Below are 20089 nucleotides of genomic sequence, written 5' to 3'. Positions count from 1 at the left end.
AAACTTACATCAATGAGGGTAAAGCTGTTAGCTTTAAAAAAAATGTACTTATGTACTTTAATATGGGGTGGCTGGTCAATAAAGGAAAGCTACCAAGAAAAGTTGAAGTGTTTTTCTCTCCTCGGCAGTTGTCTTGAACACCCTATGTTTACAAAGCACTTTCACAACATGACAGTATATTTATCTTCTTGTTTTTTCTCATTGGACCTTCATAATAACCCTGTGAGGAGAGACACCTTTATTCTCTTTACTTTATAAGTAAGAAAATAGAGGCTCAGAGAAGAATGGTTGTGAAGGACTACTATTCGCTCTGTAGTCCCAGTTAAGGGCACAAGCCCCTTAAAGTCCTGATATAGTAAATATTTATGGACTTTAATTGAGCTGCCTAAGTTTATGGTGCTTTCAGCTTATAGTCAGTGGGGTAGCACTTAAATCTAGGCTGTTAGACTTCATAGGAAGAGCTCTTTCTACAATACCGTTGTTTTCTAACCTTATGATTAGAAACACACACCTTAGGGAGTGTGTAGACCTGGTTTTTAAAATGAAAAAAGAAATGAAAATCTTAGATCCTCACATAAAAGTAGTTGTAGTTTTAATATCAATTGAGAAAATACAGCATGTTAAAATGATAGACTCACTGACTTTAAATAAATTTATGTTTTATAATGGTAAGAAGGGAGACATATACAGTAAAAATGATGCATGGAGGAGACTGTATAGATTTTATCTACAAAGCTGGCTGGGCTTGTGGATTTGTTGACCTGTTGCTGTAATCTCATGGGCTCCTTCCAGCACTTTCACGCTCACCTTTTGGAAATCACTTCTCCATTAGTATTTTCTTCTCAGTATTACCAAAGAGGAACTGTATAGATTTTATCTACAAAGCTGGCTGGGCTTGTGGATTTGTTGACCTGTTGCTGTAATCTCATGGGCTCCTTCCAGCACTTTCACGCTCACCTTTTGGAAATCACTGTGTAATATTGATGAAGTTTTTAATGCCTGTGACAGGATTTCTTCCTGGTCTTCACCTGACAATCTAGGGCAGCGGAGGCCCATTATTACGTAAAGTTTTAGATTTAGGGAAACTGAGGAAGAGTACCCTGTGGCCAAATGGATGAAGGGAGGGCAATACACTGGGAACTTGGGGGCTCCTGTACTGACAGGACGAACATTTTGCCATCTTGGGTAACCCTGGATGAATCAGTAATCACTCTGAAGTCCAGTTGTCTAATATTTAAATTGCATAAATCATAGCAATTTTATCTACATCACAGAGTTGTTGTAAGGAAATTATAAGGTATGTGAAAATAATATGGTAGATAACATTCATTGAATACTTATACTGTGCTGAGGATTTTACATGTATTATCTCACATCATCAACCCAACAACCCAAAGTAGCTGTTATTATTATTATTTGACAGCTTTACAGATGAGGAAGCAAAGCTAATGGAAATTTGATAATTTGTTCAGACTCATAGAGCTAGTAAGTGCAGAGCTTATGCTTAAACTCAGAACCGACTTGAAACCTCATGTTCTTAACCACTTTCCTATATTATCAAGATGAAAAATTGGTTAAACAGGTCAGCATTAACTTTTTCTTACGTAATGTATGCTTTGATTGCTGTTTGCTGATAAACCAAATGTACAGTCATGATGATTTGTGGAAAAAGAATACCAGGAGAATCCCACTCCCTTGATGAGTTCACGGTTCAATCAAAGAGCATTTCAGTGGAAATGGGCTGTACAAGCAAGACAACCAAATCCTGTCCTGGATCAACAAGGAATCTATTACTTTTAAGTAAGAAAGCAATTATTAAAAATATTCTTCAGCAGAACTGAAATTAGCTGGCAACAAATTTTCACACTGCACCCTACTTTGGGAAGAAGAGACAAGTAACAATGGAGCTAGGTGAGAGCAAAGATACCTAAACAAGCAAACAAACCCAAACAAATCGGCAATAACAACAAATAAGGAAACCATACCTGGAAGATTCCATTTCAGTGCTGACACTGTCCATAACTACACTGCACTTTGAGAAGCTGATTCCTCATAAACCTAACAATGCCCCTTTGGTGTAGTAAATAATCATTTTCAAAAGGATGAAATCATGTTAAGAATACCAGTAAGGCAGGAGGCAGGACAATTGTAAGTATGCTAACAATGCATCTGAGAAATTTCACAACATGAAAACAGTTCAATACAAACACACCAGACATTCCCAATCTGAAGCATTCTATTTAATGGAAGCGCTCATGTAGTAAGATTTATGTGTTAATGGTATATTTCTAATATAGAAAGTTTTCTTTCCTTCTCCCTGCTTTAAGGAGCCTGTTCTGATATTAAATTGCTTTAATACGCTGGTGGGAAGAGAGAATTAATTCAGTAACAACAGTCCTCAGAGGAGCAGAGGCTACTGGGCTGTTTTCTGAGGGACAGAACAAGCGGTGTCCTGCCTAGCTGCTTTTCCTGGCCCAGGGTCTCAGGCAATCATCTATTTACCTAAGGCCTTATATCCAAGCTAAACAATTATTTTGACTATTCATTGAGTCCTTGTTTAACTTAAGCAACTTGTTTTTTTTCTTCTGGCATATGAAAGGTGCTGTGGAAGCTGGTAGGAAGCGTTGACAGCCTAGAGTCATGTCCCCAGTCTGTTCTTATTGTGTTCCAAAAGGAAACAAACAGCAGGGGCATTCTGATTTTGAAAGGCTGCTGCTTTTTTTTGCCCCTTCAGGCTGACAACATCACATGTCATCCCCTGTACTGAAGGCTGCAAACAGGCTCAGAGCTGAGCTGAATTGCCCCAGGAGCCACGACCTGACCTGACGACAGCCCCTCACCCTCCCTGAGGACAGGGCTCCGGAATGGACCTCTTGCTTACTTGGCCTCTCACGCTGCCTCTGGTTAATAAAAGCTTGTGCTAGGAAGCAGATGTCTATGTAGCCTCTTATGTAACTGGCAAAGAGGGTGGAGACTCTGACAGCGATGACAACTTACAGTGGCTGAAACACAGGCCATGTGACAAGAACCAGACTCTGGCCCCTGTCGTGGTATGTCAAGGTCATTTCAGGGTGAGGAAAAGGTGTCAGGGACAGAGCAGTAGCTACTGGGCTTCCATGGCATCTGAGATGAATGAAGAAGATAGTGACGTTCTTGGTATAAACAGGTTGCACGGAATATGGGATAGAGATTCATAGCAGGGGCATCACTAAGGAACCAGGAAGATGAGATAGTGCTGGTATCAGAAAGGTGAAGCCGCAAAGCAGCCCAAATATGGTGGGAAAGAAGCAGCTCTCATGAAAGGTATTCCTCTGAGCTTGCTGAGCACATTACTAATTCATGTCACTGCCACCACTTGCAAAATAAAGACAGAGAAAATCCAGATCCCAAATCTCAGACAACTTTCACCATACTGCACATCTCAGCTAGAAGCTTTGTTTATTTCAGCTGACTACTCTCCAAATTAACTAAGTGAACGATTTCTCCTAAGATGTTTATCTGGCCTAAAAGAGAGGAGGAAGGTTGTGCAATTTAATCACTCCATAGATTTATGGGATAGCACAAGCAGCCAGTTCAGATAACTTAGGCAGAGATTATTGTTCCGAGTACCATGATCTTACAGGAGGGAGCCAAGATGGCTGATTAGACCCAAATTTCCCCTGTGGGCGTTCAATCTTCCACTTTCTTGAGTGACACTGGGCCTGCCTGGTCATCAAGGACTATGTGCTGAACTGGCTAAGTAGGAGGCTTCCTGTCCATTGTTCTGTTTCACTAGCTGTGTGTTCCTGGGCTGTCGGTGAGAGAGCTTTGTATGTAGGAAAGAGGCAAACCAGGAGTTAGTCGTCCAGAAACCACATTTTTCGCAAAAGGAATGAAACACAATTTTCTTTGCATGTGAAAAAAGTTCTTTCTTCTCTTCTTAAAAATCTTGATTTGCATATAAAAATCAGAGAAAAGGGAAATTTCACTAAGTTAGAGTCGCCAAACAATACTGCATCACCTTGCATCTTTAGCTTAGAATGATGACTTTCTGACAAATGTGCATTTTGGAACTTGAATGCTGAAAAGTGAATATGTAAATAGTAGTGTGTTTGTTTTCTAAAGAAGGTAAGGCAGGTTTTAGACTAGTGTCAACAAGAGCTATCCTCATTTTTGAGCTTGATAGTTTTTCAGAGGGAAAATGAGAAAAAAGTAAGCTTCAATCACCAGGAACATAGGAGTCTCATAAAAAAAGATACTGAACAAGAAGCAGTGGGAATGCCCAAGGAGAATTTCAAAAGCTGTAAAAGACCTTAAAAGAACACAAAGACATGTCTTTTTATAAAGGTTGGGTAGAAGGAGAACAACTTGAGGAGTCAACTTGGGGACTATGAAATCTGGGTCTGCCTTCAGTAATGAAAACACGGATGGGTGTAAGATTACGCATCATTCACGTATTTCTGGGATAATACTTTTAATCTCCAGAATTTCCACCAAGCAAAGTTCGTTGTTTTTTAGAAATGCATTATATATAAATTGCTTAGCACAGTGCCTGGCACATAGTTGGTATTCAAAAACCAGTAGCTATTGTTCTTACTTAGTTACCATTCTTCCGATGGATATTCTGTGTTCCTTCCCAAACCCCCACCCACCCCCTACCAGCTCCTTAATTGTTGGTATTTTTAGGAGGATTTTCTAAATGTCAGGATCTGTTTGAAGGGCTTTATGTGTATGAGCACCTTTAGTCCTTGTGACAAGCCCCAGGCATAGGTGTGTGTATCATCCCCACTGTCCTGAGGAGCACAGAGAGCTTATAAAGTGACTAAATTGGGATTCCAGGTGCCCTCGGGAGCCCTTGCTCTCTAAAGCACTCCTGCACGTGGCCAGCATCTCCATTCTCCACAACAGAGACCAGGAACAACTACGCATGATGTACTTCATAGGTCCCTTCAGTCTTCCCAGGCCATGTTTCTTCTCTCTCTGCTGGACATGACAGGGTTAATAAAAGTGAGCACCAAAACTATGTCCTGAGGAAAACCGAACATTTATCCTGGTGTTTCTTCACAGCAACATTATAAGCCCAGGACAACAGGTGTGCTGTGGACCACAGCTCGGGACCCATGAACCCCTAGTGGTGCAGGTTAGACTACAGGAAGATGTAGACTCCACTGGAGTGTGTAGGTATCTTGCAGTTTGGTAGAACATTTAGGTATGGGAGTCAGCAAAGGGGCCAGTTTTTGGGCAGGCTGAGGGGATCCTAAACTAATTCAGTTCATTTCAACAAATGCTTATGCAAAACATTACACAAAATGTTGAAAAGTAGGCGAAGACAGAAATAGAAACTACCATTGGAGAATACTACAAACACTTCTACACAAATAAACTAGAAAACCTGGAAGAAATGGATAGATTCCTGGACACATACACCCTCCCAAGACTAAAGCAGGAAGAAGTTGAATCTCTGAATAGACCAATAACAGGTTCTGAAATTGAGGCAATAATGAATAGCCTACCAACCAAAAAAAGTCCAGGACCAGATGAATTCACAGCCGAATTCTACCAGAGGTACAAAGAGGAGCTGGCAACATTCATTCTGAAACTATTCCAATCAATAGAAAAAGAGGAAATGCTCTCTAACTCATTTTATGAGGCCAGCATCATCCTGATAGCAAAGCCTGGCAGAGACACAACAAAAAAAGAGAATTTTGGACCAATATCCCTGATGAACATTGATGCAAAAATCCTAAATAAAATACTGGCAAATCAAATCCAGCAGCACATCAAAAAGCTTATCCACCACGATCAAGTCGACTTCATTCCTGGGATGCAAGGCTGGTTCAACTTACGCAAATCAATAAATGTAATCCATTACATCAACAGAACCAACAACAAAAACCACATGATTATCTCAATAGATGCAGAAAAGGCCTTAGACAAAATTCAGCCTTTCATGCTAAAAACTCTCAATAAACTATGTATTGATGGAACACATCTCAAAATAATAAGAGCTGTTTATGACAATCCCTCAGCCAATATCATACTGAATGGGCAAACCTGGAAGCATTCCCTTTGAAAACCAGCACAAGACAAGGATGCCCTCTCTCACCACTCCTATTCAATATAGTATTGGAAGTTCTGGCCAGGGCAATCAGGCAAGAGAAAGAAATAAAGGTATTCTATTAGGAAAAGAGGAAGTCAAATTGTCTCTGTTTGCAGATGACATGATAGCATATTTAGAAAACCCCACAGTCTCAGCCCAAAATCTCCTTAAGCTGATAAGCAACTTCAGCAAAGTCTCAGGATACAAAATCAATGTGCAAAAATCACAAGCATTCCATACACCACTAACAGACAAACAGAGAACTAAATCATGAACTCCCATTCACAATTACTACAAAGAGAATAAAATACCCAGGAATCCAACTTACAAGGGATGTGAAGGACCTCTTCAAGGAGAATTACAAACCACTGCTCAACGAAATAAAAGAGGACACAAATAAATGGAAAAACATTCCATGCTCATGGATAGGAAGAATCAATATCGTGAAAATGGCCATACTGCCCAAAGTAATTTATAGATTCAATGCTATCCCCATCAAGCTACCACTGACTTTCTTCACAGAATTGGAAAAAATTACTTCAATTTCATATGGAACCAACAAGGAGCCTGCATAGCCAAGACAATCCTAAGCAAAGAGAACAAAGCTGGGGGCATCACGTTACCTGACTGCAAACTATACTACAAGGCTACAGTAACCAAAACGGCATGGTACTGGTACTAAAACAGATATATAGACCAATGGAACAGAACAGAGGCCTCAGAAATAACACCACACATCTACAACCATCTGATCTTTGACAAACCTGACAAAAACAAGCAATTGGGAAAGGATTCCCTATTTAATAAATAGTGCTGGGAAAACTGGCTAGCCATATGTAGAAAGCTGAAACTGGATCCCTTCCTTATACCTTATACAAAAATTAACTCAAAATGGATTAAAGACTTAAATGTAAGACCTGAAACCACAAAAACCCTAGAGGAAAACCTAGGCAATACCATTTAGGACACATGCATGGGCAAAGACTTCATGACTAAAACACCAAAAGCAATGGCAAAAAAAGCCAAAATACACAAATGGGATCTAATTAAACTAAAGAGCTTCTGCACAGCAAAAGAAACTATCATCAGGGTGAACAGGCAACCTACAGAATGGGAGAAAATTTTTGCAATCTATCCATCTAACAAAGGGCTAATATCCAGAATCTACAAAGAACTTAAACAAATTTACAAGAAAAAAAACAACCCCATCAAAAAGTGGACAAAGGATATGAACAGACACTTCTCAAAAGAAGACATTTATGCAGCCAACAGACATATGAAAAAATGCTCATCATCACTGGTCATCAGAGAAATGCAAATCAAAACCACAATGAGATACCATCTCATGCCAGTTAGAATGGCAATCATTAAAAAGTCAGGAAACAACAGATGCTGGAGAGGATGTGGAGAAATAGGAATGCTTTTACACTGTTGGTGGGAATGTAAACTAGTTCAACCATTGTGGAGGACAGTGTGGCGATTCCTCAAGGATCTAGAACTAGAAATACCATTTGACCCATCAATCCCATTACTGGGTATATACCCAAAGGATTATAAATCATGCTGCTATAAAGACACATGCACAGGTATGTTAATTGCAGCACTATTCACAATAGCAAAGACTTGGAACCAACCCAAATGTCCATCAATAACAGACTGGATAAAGAAAATGTGGCACATTTATGCCATGGAATACTATGTAGCCATAAAAAAGGATAAGTTCATGTACTTTGCAGGGACATGGATGAAGCTGGAAACCATCATTCTCAGCAAAATATCACAAGGACAGAAAACCATACACTGCATGTTCTCACTCATAACTGGGAGTTAAATGATGAGAACACATGGACACAGGGAGGGGAACATCACACACTGAGGCCTGTTGGGGGGTGGGGGGCTGGGGAAGGGATAGTGTTAGGAGAAATACCTAATGTAAATGACGAGTTAATGGGTGCAGCAAACCAACATGGTACGTGTATAACTATGTAACAAACCTGCACGTTGTGCTCATGTACCCTAGAACTTTAAGAATAATAAAAAAAAAAAAGAAAAGTAGGTGAGGAAAAGGGAAATGCAAAGGTTCATAAGATGTCCTCTTGGCACTCAGATAATTAACAATCCAGAAGACAGTCACATAAGTGAGTCGATATGGTATAAGCTAGGAGAAGTCTCACTTGTAATGATACTGAAATATTTGGGTTTGGGTTCCTCTCTCAGAAGCATTGTGAGGCTTTATGATTTTTATATGGATAAGTAACTTGGAAATATCTGGGTTTAAATGGCTCCCTAGCAATCCCATAAAGTGTTCTTATTAGAATTGAAAGAAAATCATTTACTGTTAAATTTTAAAACTAAATATAATTTTTACATTTAAAAGTCCTTCTTCTAGATTGATGATCAAAGATTTACTTAGACTCTTACACTGTGTCTCCAGTAAGCAGATTTCTCTGAGTATAGGCCAACAATTTAAATTAATAATGCTCTTTTCAGAAACTAATGTTATTAGGAAAAGATATTCTTCTGATCTGATGAGTGTACTACCTCTCCATTTTGAGTGTCCATTTTCTTTGTAGTCTACTCTCTCTTCTTCCTTTCCTTTCTTTGCCTTCTTCCTCTCTCTCCTTCCCCACTTCTCTTCCTGTATATGTGTGTGTGTGTATATATATACATATATTTCCCCCCCCCCCCCCAGGAACTAAAGAGAGTTATATTGTGTTATAAAAGTAACAATGTTCTTCTTCACTTTGCCAGGGAGGTTGCTGTGAGGTTCCCTTAAGGGGTGATGTTTGATCTGAGAGCTGGTAAATGAACAGGAGTTAATTTAAGGTGAACATATGTTGTCTTGTCTGGCATAATTAGTTATAGTGCCACCTTCACACTCAAAAGTATTCTGCTTTAGAACATACCTTGCATGGTCACCCTGAGTGCAGGAATCTAGGCTGTGGGGGCATATTCAGAGGACTTGTGGCAGGAGGATGGCTTATCGGAGAGATCATAACAAAGCCAAGTGTGACATAGCAAGGAGAACAAGGTCGGCGGGATGAGACACGGTGCAAAATGAGGCTGGAGAAGTGTTAGTACTTTGTAGGATAGGCTCTAAAAGATGACTTTAACAGACTTAGGATGATTAAAGAAAAGACTTAGGATGACTTAAGAGAATTCCTGAGAGAATTAGAAAGTCATGAAATGATTTTAATAGAAGGATAATGTGTTCAGATTTGTGTATTAAAAACAACTTTGGGTGCAGTATGGAGAAAGGAATGGAAGGGTAAAGAATGACTAGGTAGGAAATCATTTTAAGAGTCCAGGTGAGAAAAGATGGTAGTTTGTAGGGTGCTGATGCTGGGAGAGGGAAGTGAATAGGTTTTAGAGATGTGTAGGAGGTAAAACTGACATGGTAAGAAATTTCATATGAGGGCTGAGGGAGAGGTAAGTATCAAGGATCATTCCTAGATTTCTGGTTTGCATAACTGGATGACTGATTGTGCTAGTCACAGAAAAAGGGAATTCTAGAAGGACCCAGTTTGTGGAAAGAAATACATGCCCTCAAGAGATTTCAAAGCAAAAATGTCAAGTAACCAGTTGGACATACGGGTCTGGGGCTTAGGGGGAATTTCTGGGATGGAGATACAAATTTATAAATCAAATAAAACTATGGGTCATCATGAAGTTGCCTAGGAAATGAGCGAGAAGTGAATAGGGTCTAGCATCCAGCCTTGAGTATCTGTAACATTTAATCACTTGTTGGAGGAGGAGGAGTCTGTAAAGGAGAAGTGGGAGTCAGAGATAGGAGGAAAACCAGAATTGTGTCATGGAAGAGAGTGCTTCAAGAGCAAGGGAGAGGTTTCCAGATGGATTTTGTGGAAGAAGCACAACTGAAATGGTGATTGAACAAAGTCCATTGGATTTAGTTGAGTGACTGAAGTGAGTGAGTGAGAGAGAGACACAGAGAGAGAGAGAGAGAAGCATAGTCCTTTGGGCATCACATGGAATTGGGGAACAAGGAAGGTTTTATTAAGGAGCTGATACTTAAATGGATCTTGAATGATAAGTAAAATTTCAAAAAGCAGCACTTTATTGTATTGGCTTGCAATTGGTCAACTATGATCACTGAAATGACATTCTTAGAAAATTATGCTGATCTTAAGAATAATAGTAATTTCTAAAAATATTATTAATAATAAAATATAATTTGAAAACTGAGGCTAGAATAGTTTATGTCATGAAAATACCTGTAAATTTTTGCAAAATACAGTGATAACCTGTCTAACCACTTCCTATCTTTAAATATACTCCAAGAAAAAAAGTACAATGAAAAACACTGCCAAAAAAAAAAAAAAAAAGCATTCATTGGGAAGGAAAAGATGGGCACATTGATGAGAATAAATATAACTAGTAAGATAAAATACCAAGTAGATCCCAATATCATGGATAATTTCTTGTTTTTTTGAACTTTGAATAATTTGAGAGAAGCATTTTTATGTATTGTTTGTTTTTATGTGCTTCTGAACTTCCTGATTCTGGCCGGGAACAAGGACAAACTTGCCAAATACTGCAAGAAAAGATGTTGCTGATCACGGATAGGAAATACTCCAAGTCCCAGGAGATAGTCTGTTCTTAGGAGACTTCCACACCAAGTCTGCTGACCAGAGAAGGACCAGTCAACCACCACACTCTCCGCTGGAGCCCACTCAGCACCAGGAAGTATTTGGGAGTTCTTCATTCCAGACATCTGTGCCAACATGGCACTTGGGATTCTTTTAAACTCCAAGTGTTGTTCATTTTTTGTTTGTTTTTCAGGAAGGAAACAGATGGAAAAACCTAGACTTGGTAGGGAAGTGATTGAATTGATTATATTATACCCATGTTATAGAATGCAGTTATTAAACACAGTAACATATATTTCTATAGTAATAGCAAGCATTTATTGAACCTTGAGTGTGTGCTAGGTAATAGTTTAAAATACTTTTCTTGAATTAACTCATGTGATCGTCTCAGCTCCCTTAGATCAGTGCTATTATCAATATCATCCTCTGAGAGACAAAGCTGTTAAATTACTTTGCCCAGATGACATGGCCAGTGAGTATGGAGACAGACCGGAAATTAAGGTGACTAGCTCCACAGCCTGTGCCCTTAACTAATGTGGTGCAATCTCTGTTTAAAGATGTCTTGAGCTGACAGCCATGATCTATTGTTAAGGGAGGATGAGTATTATTAATACATAGTATTTTGAAATCGTATCACAAAGAAGTCAATGGCATGAAAAGTGATCCATTCCCTCTGTGACCTTGGTAAGTCCTACCCATTCTGGGCCTCATCCGATCCTCTGTTTCTTTAAGTAGGGATCTGCTCTGTATACCTCACAGAGGGTATGAATCAATGAAATCACATGGGTAAAACTGGATAAAACTGCTTTGCCAATCACTTTGTAATAAAATTTTATTTTTAAGAGTATTCTTATTGATATTACCATATAAATATAGAACATATGTATTACATAAATTTGATATTGCATATTATACTTTATATATCATATAAATCATATTATTGATACTGTTATAAAAATCTAGGTCAGTGTTAAAGTGTGTTTAAAGGGAAGAACATTATTTGATAAGCAATTAAACATTATGTGAATTAAAGGGTGTTATCAAATTTGGGAAACATGCAGGTTTATCAAAATTAATTTTTTTAATTGTAGAATTTCTCAGACGCTTCAGTATGTTAATGTGTACTGAATAGCCAAGAAAGTGAGATCATATAGCATTTCTCAAATACATTCATCTATGAAACGTGTTTTCCAAGTTTCTGCTGAGATGACTGTTTTGGGGAAAATAATTAGGTAGATACTGCTGTATGTGGAGCGTGTGTGTGTAAAATACTTAGAGATCCCCTAGCTCCATTCTCTGGTATCATCACCCTTTGCATCCTTGTCTGCATGACTAGGTCTATACCTGTGGTTCTAATTTCTTTTTTGGACTGTAGACCAACTGGATGTTTATTCATTTATTCCACAAACATGTTTTTGTTTGCCTACTATGTGCCAGGCTCTGTTCTAGATTCTCGGAATATAGCAGTGAACAAAACAGATAAAACGTGCCTGCCCCTGTGGGACTGAGATTCTAGTGGGGAAGACAGACAATAAACAAAGTCAATAAGTAAATTGCCCTCTATAGGGAAATAATGTAAGTGCTATGGGGAGAAATAAGCAGGGAAGGGATGAGGGAGTGCTGGGTGGACTCCACTGTGCAGGGGTGGGGTAGGTCTGCAGTTTCAACAGGGCAGGACCTCAGAAGGCCACACTGAGGTGACATGGAGCAAAGACTTGAATGAAATGTGGGAGAAGCCAAGAGACTATCTGGGAGGAGCATTTCAGGCTCAGGGAACAGCAAATCCAGGACAACAAGGAACATGCCTGGTACTTTCTGGAAACAGCAAGGGGGCCAACATGGTGGAGCAGGGAGAGTGAGGTGCAGGAGTGTGAGGGGATGAGGGCAAGGAGTTAACAAGTGTGAAGAAGGTGGTAGTAGGTCTGAACACGTTCCTCTAAAATTCATGTTGAAACTTAATCTCCAATAGGTGATATTAAGAACTGAGGCCTTTTGGGAAGTGATTAAGTCTTGAGGGCTCTGCCCTCCGTGAATGGAACTATAAAAAAGGTTGAAGGGAGCTGGCTTGCCCCTTGCACCACAAGAGGACACATAGAAGGTGCTGTCTTATGAGGCAGAGAGCATGCCCTCCCCAGACAGAGAACCTGTTGGCACCTTGATCTTGGACTTCCCAGCCTCTAGAACCACAGGTAAGAAATTTCTCTTGTTTATGAATTACCCAGTCTAAGGTATTTGGCTATAGCAGTCTGAAGGGACTAGACTAAGAAAGGAGGAGAGTGGCAGATAGTTTAGAGACTTAGAGTGAAACAGAAGACAGGAGAATTTTGAATGAGAAAGTGACATGATCTAAGGTTTTTCAAGGATTGCACTGGCTGCTCTGTTGAGAGCAGACTGTTGGGGCACTTTATACATTAAATAGATCCCCAAACAAATGTTTTATCTTTCCCTGTAAACCAGGTCCTGCATTGCATTTCCCATTCCACTTGTGGCAAGTCCTGTTACTGTGCCCCCTTCTCTCTCTGCTCATGGCTCCCAGAGATGGCTTTCTCACTCAGTGGTGTAGACACTCTCCTAGGGCCTATGTGTTCATGGGCCTCTCTGGAAAAGGGAACTAAGCCACCATAAATATTCTCCTGGTTGCACAGAGAAGGCAGAAAATGGATCATGGCACATGGCCATGGGTCTGTTCATTCACACAAGTTTACCATCGATTTTATAAGTATATAACATACAAATACATGTATTTTAGGGAGAGGTGTATTTTGGAGTACTTTATCCATAAAATTAATTAAGCTGGACTGTGCTAGATACATCCTTGGAAGAAAGACCTTGCAGCATATATTCTTGAAATTTGGAAAGGACTATTTGGGAAGCATATAAAATTCAGACAACATTGCCCATGGGCGAAATAGTCCCTGAAACCTGCCCTTCTGTGACTGGGCCTCACTAACTCACGATAGGATTGACTGGGTCATATATTAATTTGCCAAGTCAGACCTCCACTGTGCATTAAACATACCCCTGACAAGCAGCATCGTTTGTTTTCACAGCCATCATACTGGGTAATTAAACTGAAGTGGAGATACTTTACAGAGATCATTTGATGTGTTTTTTCCCAGCTTGACTGAGGTATAATTGACAGATGAAAATTATATCTGTTTATGGTATACGACATGATGTTTTGATGAATGTATACCTTGTGAAATGATTACCACCATGAAGCTAATAAATGCATCCATCACCTCACATAGAAATCTTGTGTGTGTGTTTGTGTGTTGAGAACATTTAGGGTCTACTCTTTTAGTAATATTCAAGTATACAGTACCTCATTATTGACTATAGTCACCATTCTGTACAGTAGAGTTCCTGAATTTATTTATCCTGTCTGAGACTTTGTACCCCTTGAGCAACATCTCCCCATTTCACTCTGAGTTTTGTTTTGTTTTGTTTTGTTTTTGAGACAGTCTCGCTCTTGTTGTCCAGGCTGGAGTGCAGTGGCACGATCTCAGCTCACTGCAACCTCCGCCTCCTGGGATCAAGCGATTCTCCTGCCTCAGCCTCCCGAGTAGCTGGGACTACAGGTGCCCACCACCACGCCCAGCTAATTTTTGTGTTTTTGGTAGAGTTGTGGTTTCACCATGTTGGCCAGGCTGGTCTCGAACTCCTGAACTCAGGTGATCCACCTGCCTCAGCTTCCCAAAGTGCTGGGATTACAGGCATGAGCCATCGTACCCGGCCTTCACTCTCAGTTTTTAAAAAACTGAATCTGCCATTTCTTCCTATTTGAAAATTTAGACAATTTTTGCCTTTTTCCAGTTTTCTGACACTTTTCTCACTCTTCATAATTCCACTAGATTATTGACAGGAGTTTTGCAAACATATCTGCAAATATCCCTTTTTTGTGATAATTGAACCCAGAGAAGTAGTTCTTCATGTCCAAACCCAATTACATGATTTTAATGTTTGAATTTGAGAATTGGAACTGAAAAACTATTACATATATACTGAAAAATTATTTTGGAGATGGTAAACAGCAATGTCCATTCTTAGTCAATCTTCATTGAATACCTATTCTAAGTCTGTTATACTCATGTATTATTATATTGGAGATTACTATGACTGTGAGCAATATAAAGTAATGACAGTAATTTTTATGCTACAGGATGATAATCGGGGACAATTTCTTTTAGTACGAATTGCTTAGTTTCTCATAAGTGATATGCTACTGCTTATGGCTTTACTCCTATATGTATAATTGTAACTGTTGAATGGATTTATGTGTAGTATATAATGTCTTCTACATAGAGCACAAACTTGATACTCTGTATTGCTTTTTACTTCAAACATTCAAGATTCTACCATCTGTATCTTTCCATGGCTCCCACACATTAAAAAAAAAATATTTGATTCCCAGTCTTGGCTGTCCCAGGCCTGCCTGGCCACCCAGGAGGCTGAGGGAATTGAATATTTCAGCACACTGGAGATTCATTCACAGCACATTGGTTGCAAAATTCTAAGCTACACAATTAAGACAATACTACCTGCAAATAAACCTCAAGCATCGCTTATCCTATGTTTGATTTTTTAGAACATATACTTCTTGAGGTTAACACACTTCATAGAATCAATGTTCAGAGAATCTTACTACTCATCAACAGCAGTTAAGTAAGGTGAGGTGTGGGTCATGGAAACTTTATAGTAAGAGTTAGTAGAAAAAGGGAACCGTTATTTAAAACAAATGTTTATATTTCTCTGGTCTGACATGCAGCGACTTAGAAAAAGATAAGCTTTTGCCCACCTTTAACCTTCTAATCACAGGATTCTGCAGTTGTTAACTTGTTATCAGAACATTTTCTTTACTTTTTTTCATTATATTTGAAACTGGCCAGGAATTTCCCCCTCAGCCCAGTATGGGAGGAAAAAAGAAATTAGGCTAACATTCTACTCTCCTTCATAACCATCTGTGATCAGTTGTTTTCAATTAGATATTCTGATTTAATTGGGCAGGAGTGAATCTGGGCATATTTTTTACAGTTTCCCTAGTGACTTCAATGGGGAGATGTTGAGAACCACTGATGGCTATCTCACTTTGTAACCGAACCCACATGTTAAAGGTCTCACCCAAAGCACAAAATAGAGAGGACACATGAGGCAAAAGCAAATAGGGCAGAAAGCAAATATTTATAATATGCATCATCTTTGGTCATTTGTGAATTGTGTCCTGTTGGAATTTGGACACTTTGGCTAGGGGAATGGATTAGCATTGCTCTGGTGTGTTAGGGGAGGCTCTGTGAAATGAATTGACTTGTAGAGTATTTTGAAATGAAAAATGTAGTGATTGATAGAGTATGAACTTCTTAGAGGTTGGCATAAAGAAATAGGTGGTACAGTGGTTTGTTTGGTGAGAGATAATTTGGGAGGCAGAGGAGTGGGAGACAGAGACAGGGAGGTTAGGGCATCTGTGGTGAAAACTTCTTGGCCCTCCTAGGAGACTTGGTTGTTTAACAAAACCCAAGGCACTCTGCATATAACCTGGTTCAAACTAAGAGGGTAACTGGCACACTTTTCTTGAATTGCCCAAACCAGAGCTGAGAAAGGACTTTGACAACAATGTGTACTCACACTCAAAGCAAAATAACAAAAATAATAAAATGTACTACTGTTGAAAAATATTTATCGATGACATTAAGAGCACAATAAGATGTATGTTCATTTCATATTATTTACTACAGGGAAGGCGCAATGCAAGTTCTGAAAAAGAAAAAACCAGGTCATGATGCAAAGCCTATTTTAATAGCATCTGGGAAGCCATTTCATATCCCAACAATCCCTTCAACTAAAAGCACAAATTCTCTAAATTCCTAAATGAGAAACTTTACATTTGTAGTGTTCCTTTGATAATAACTGATCACCAACTTTATGGAAGACATCCTCCTGGGTCTTTTCTGGACCTTTTAGCATGGCTTTCTCCCCAGATCGTGATGCTCCACAGTTCAGCCTTTCTCATAGCCACGTGAAGGAACCCAAGCTACCCCACCCAATGGAAGAAGATGATCCCTGATTGTATCTCTGATGATAAAAAAGAACAGTCGCTTGTGAGTCATTCAAGGCTAACACTAATACAGCACTTTTTGAGTTACTGAAAAAAAACCCACAACAATCTAATTTGGTGTCTTTCGGTATCTCAGAGGGCCTACACAATCGCTAGTAATCACCGTGTGTATCACTAAGATAGATGCTTTGGAAAGACAGATGGCTATAGGAAAGATTACATTCCTGTGGTGGGGCAGAATATGGTAGCTCCTACAAAATAGCTAAAAGTGCCTTCTCTGAACACTAGACACAGAAAATAAGGAAGGAGAAAAAGACACACACAAAGAAGTGAATATTTAAAATGTAAGTTTTTGAGGGCAAGAGTTCTGCCTAATTATGACCAATAACTGGCATAAATTTGAAATTTTCAAAAATATTTTGCCATTTTACTTTATCCAAGTGTATGTTTTTCCACTTGGGAATATGCCCTATATAAAGATGCATAAAATGTTCACTTTGGCAAACTCATTTCCATTCATTTCTTGTTTTTCAACATTCGGAAAATCTACAACAGTGTCAATATAACATTCTGATTATGTTTTTCAACTTTCCCATTCATTTACTTGGTTTTATGCAAAAATAATATTCAAAAGATGGCCCCAAAGAAAATACGCTGAGTACCAGGGTCATCAAATGAACAATTGCATCTTTCTCTGAGATGGGAGCTGGAGAAATGGACCAAATTGCAGGAGGTAGAAGCACTTGTTTGTAGTCTTCTCTTTTCTCCATTTTTAATAGCATGGAACCATTTATTTATTGACTGCTTGAAATAAATTCAAATAGAAGAACTTTGTAAATGCTGTAGTCTCTGGAATGACCTACCTGGTGCCAATCTTTTTTGTTATTTATGAGAGGGCCTCACAGAGCTTGAAAGTCTCCTCTTTTTATCCAGAGGTTAGTGTTGTTATGAGCTAAAGCCCTTTTGTCTAGAAGAGGCTCTGAACAATAATTCACAAGCTCACAGTTCTCCTAGGACTGAGGTGGGACCTTATCATGTCTCACATTTAAGTGGGCTTCAAATGTAATAGAAAATGAGGTACTGAAGTTCTCTGAAGAGTTTTTCTTGTGTTTTGCGGTTTCTAGGTGAGAAAGAATATCTGATAGTTCCCCGTGTTTCTTTTTTTTTTTGGCGGGGGAAAGGCATACAGGCTGGGGATGGGAACCTGAGGAAGAGGATCCACTTCTGGAGTATTTATTGCTCCTTCAATTTACTTGGCTTCCCCCTCCACCCCCTGCCAAATTTTATTACCTCACATTTTAAAATGACAGCTTTATTGAGATATAATTTACATACCACACAATTCACTCATTTAAAGTGTACGATTCAATGGCTTTTACTATATTCCCAGAATACGTGCAACCATCACCACAGTCAATTTTAGAGCATTTTCATCACTATAAAAAGGAACCCTGTACCTTTCAGTTGTCACTTTCCTATCCCCCCAGCCTACTGTCCTTAGTCCTAAGCCCTAAGCAACTGCTATTCTACCTTCTATCTCCACAGATTTCCCGTTTCTGGACATATCCATAAATGCAAACAATACAATATATGGTCTTTTGTCCACTTGACTTCTAATCCTATTCTGCCTTATGATATTGGTGGTAATGCTGTCTTCAAAAGTTTGAAGACTTTTAATGTGTCCCTGCTTTTTCTCCTTCTAGGCCTGTGTTCTCCTGGATTCAGGGGCATCCAGCTTAGTGCATCACTTACAGCACACCTTCAATGAGTGTTTGTAAATTTATGAACTAATTGTTGATGTTCTGCAGAAGTTGTCTATAATATTTCCGTAAGGGATATCCCACAGCTCCACTCCCCCCTTGTGGGGCTGCCTCTTCTCTTTCTCTGCCCGCCCCCGGTATAGTAATATTATAACCTGCTACAACTCAGATCTTTATTTCCTGTGCTGAGTTCTGATGACATCAATCTCCATCTGCTCCTAGCTCCATCCTGTGCAATGTTTCAGGAATGCTCCTTAGCCGCAGTCTACTTACTAGGTTTAAAGATGTCCCTGGTAAAAGAAACACTCAGAGTGACATTGAACTTTAGTCTTGTAGCACTGGTATACTGCCGATGGGATGGATGGTCCCACAGATTTGCCACTGATTGTCCACTCTTCCTTACGTGATTTAGAGAAAAAGGCTTTCTCCCACTGGTATTGACTTGTTGAAACCATGGATAATATATATTTTTTTGCTTATTTATTTTATTTATTTAAATTTCCAAGATAGATAGTTCTAAGAGCAAGAATGTTCCCAATTTCAACTAGAACATAACTCTGCTTGCCACATGGCTACGTTGCATTACAACCCCTAAACCAGAATGCGAGAACAACACTGCCCTCAAAGTAGGACTATGTATATACATATATTTCTCAAACTAGGAATATGTAGATATGAGGTGTATTCTTTTTCACCTTCCTTCTAGAGAAGCCGATGCTGTTTAATTAGAAAGCTTTGCATGCCTTAGCATACTGAAAAGTAGGAGGATGAAGTTACTGCTTTCTAATTGCTTATCTAGGTTAATGATTTTAGGTCTCAAAAACCTGTTTATAGAAAGCCAAAGTGAAAGTTAACTAGGCCACATTTTTATGGTATTAACTTAATTTCCAAGTCAGAATAAATTTTGGGGGAAAATGTCTCTTGCTCTTCTTACTTTGTGATAATAAAATTTAGGGAACAACTTTTTTTTTCTTTCTTTGCTTGGAAGTAAAAAAGTTTCTTAGGGATATATATTTTTAATTTTTTATTCTTATATTTTTCTTATGTCTGTCATTGTGCAGGTATTTTGAGGTACTATTTTTTATTAGCCAAAACTTCTGGTTCCCAGATAGAGAGCTTTAGAAAATGGACTGGTCCATATCAGATGGTGAATTAGTCACCCTCTGAAATTCACTTGGATGTGTTCATGTTTGCTCCATTAATCGACGTAAGATGCCCAGCCGTGCCACAATCAACAATTAAACCATAAAATTATTTGTTATAACAATGTAAAGTGAAAGAGAAAGATGTTTCTCTCCTCAGTATACTGTCTTTCTCATTCTAACCAACCTATGAAGGAAGAATGGGTAGATAAAGAATAGTATACAAGTAACGGCAGATAGAACTTTGACACATAAAAACAACAAGGGCCCTTTTCTAGTTGGCTTGTGAAGGCGCTCTCTCCCCCAGAATCTGGCGCACGATGCCCACAGTTTGTGTGGTGATTGGCACGTTCTGGTGCCAATGGGAATAACAGCTGGCTTCTCAATATTCTTCCGAAGCAGCTGCTCCGTCTATCTTGGCACCGTACACACACTGCTTTACTTACTGA

At 39.1% G+C, this 20089-nt stretch overlaps 1 protein-coding gene across 1 annotated transcript in view; it reads right to left on the bottom strand.

Annotated features, from left to right (window-relative positions):
- Positions 1–20089, bottom strand: part of PDE7B (phosphodiesterase 7B) — a 343874-nt gene that overhangs the window by 88672 nt on the left and 235113 nt on the right. The gene's annotated exons all lie outside the window — the stretch shown is intronic.

This window comes from Homo sapiens, chromosome 6 (assembly GCF_000001405.40).
Source record: "Homo sapiens chromosome 6, GRCh38.p14 Primary Assembly".
Lineage (NCBI taxonomy): Eukaryota > Metazoa > Chordata > Mammalia > Primates > Hominidae > Homo > Homo sapiens.
Note: the sequence above shows the minus strand (reverse complement) of the source record. Positions and strands in the feature narration are given on the sequence as shown.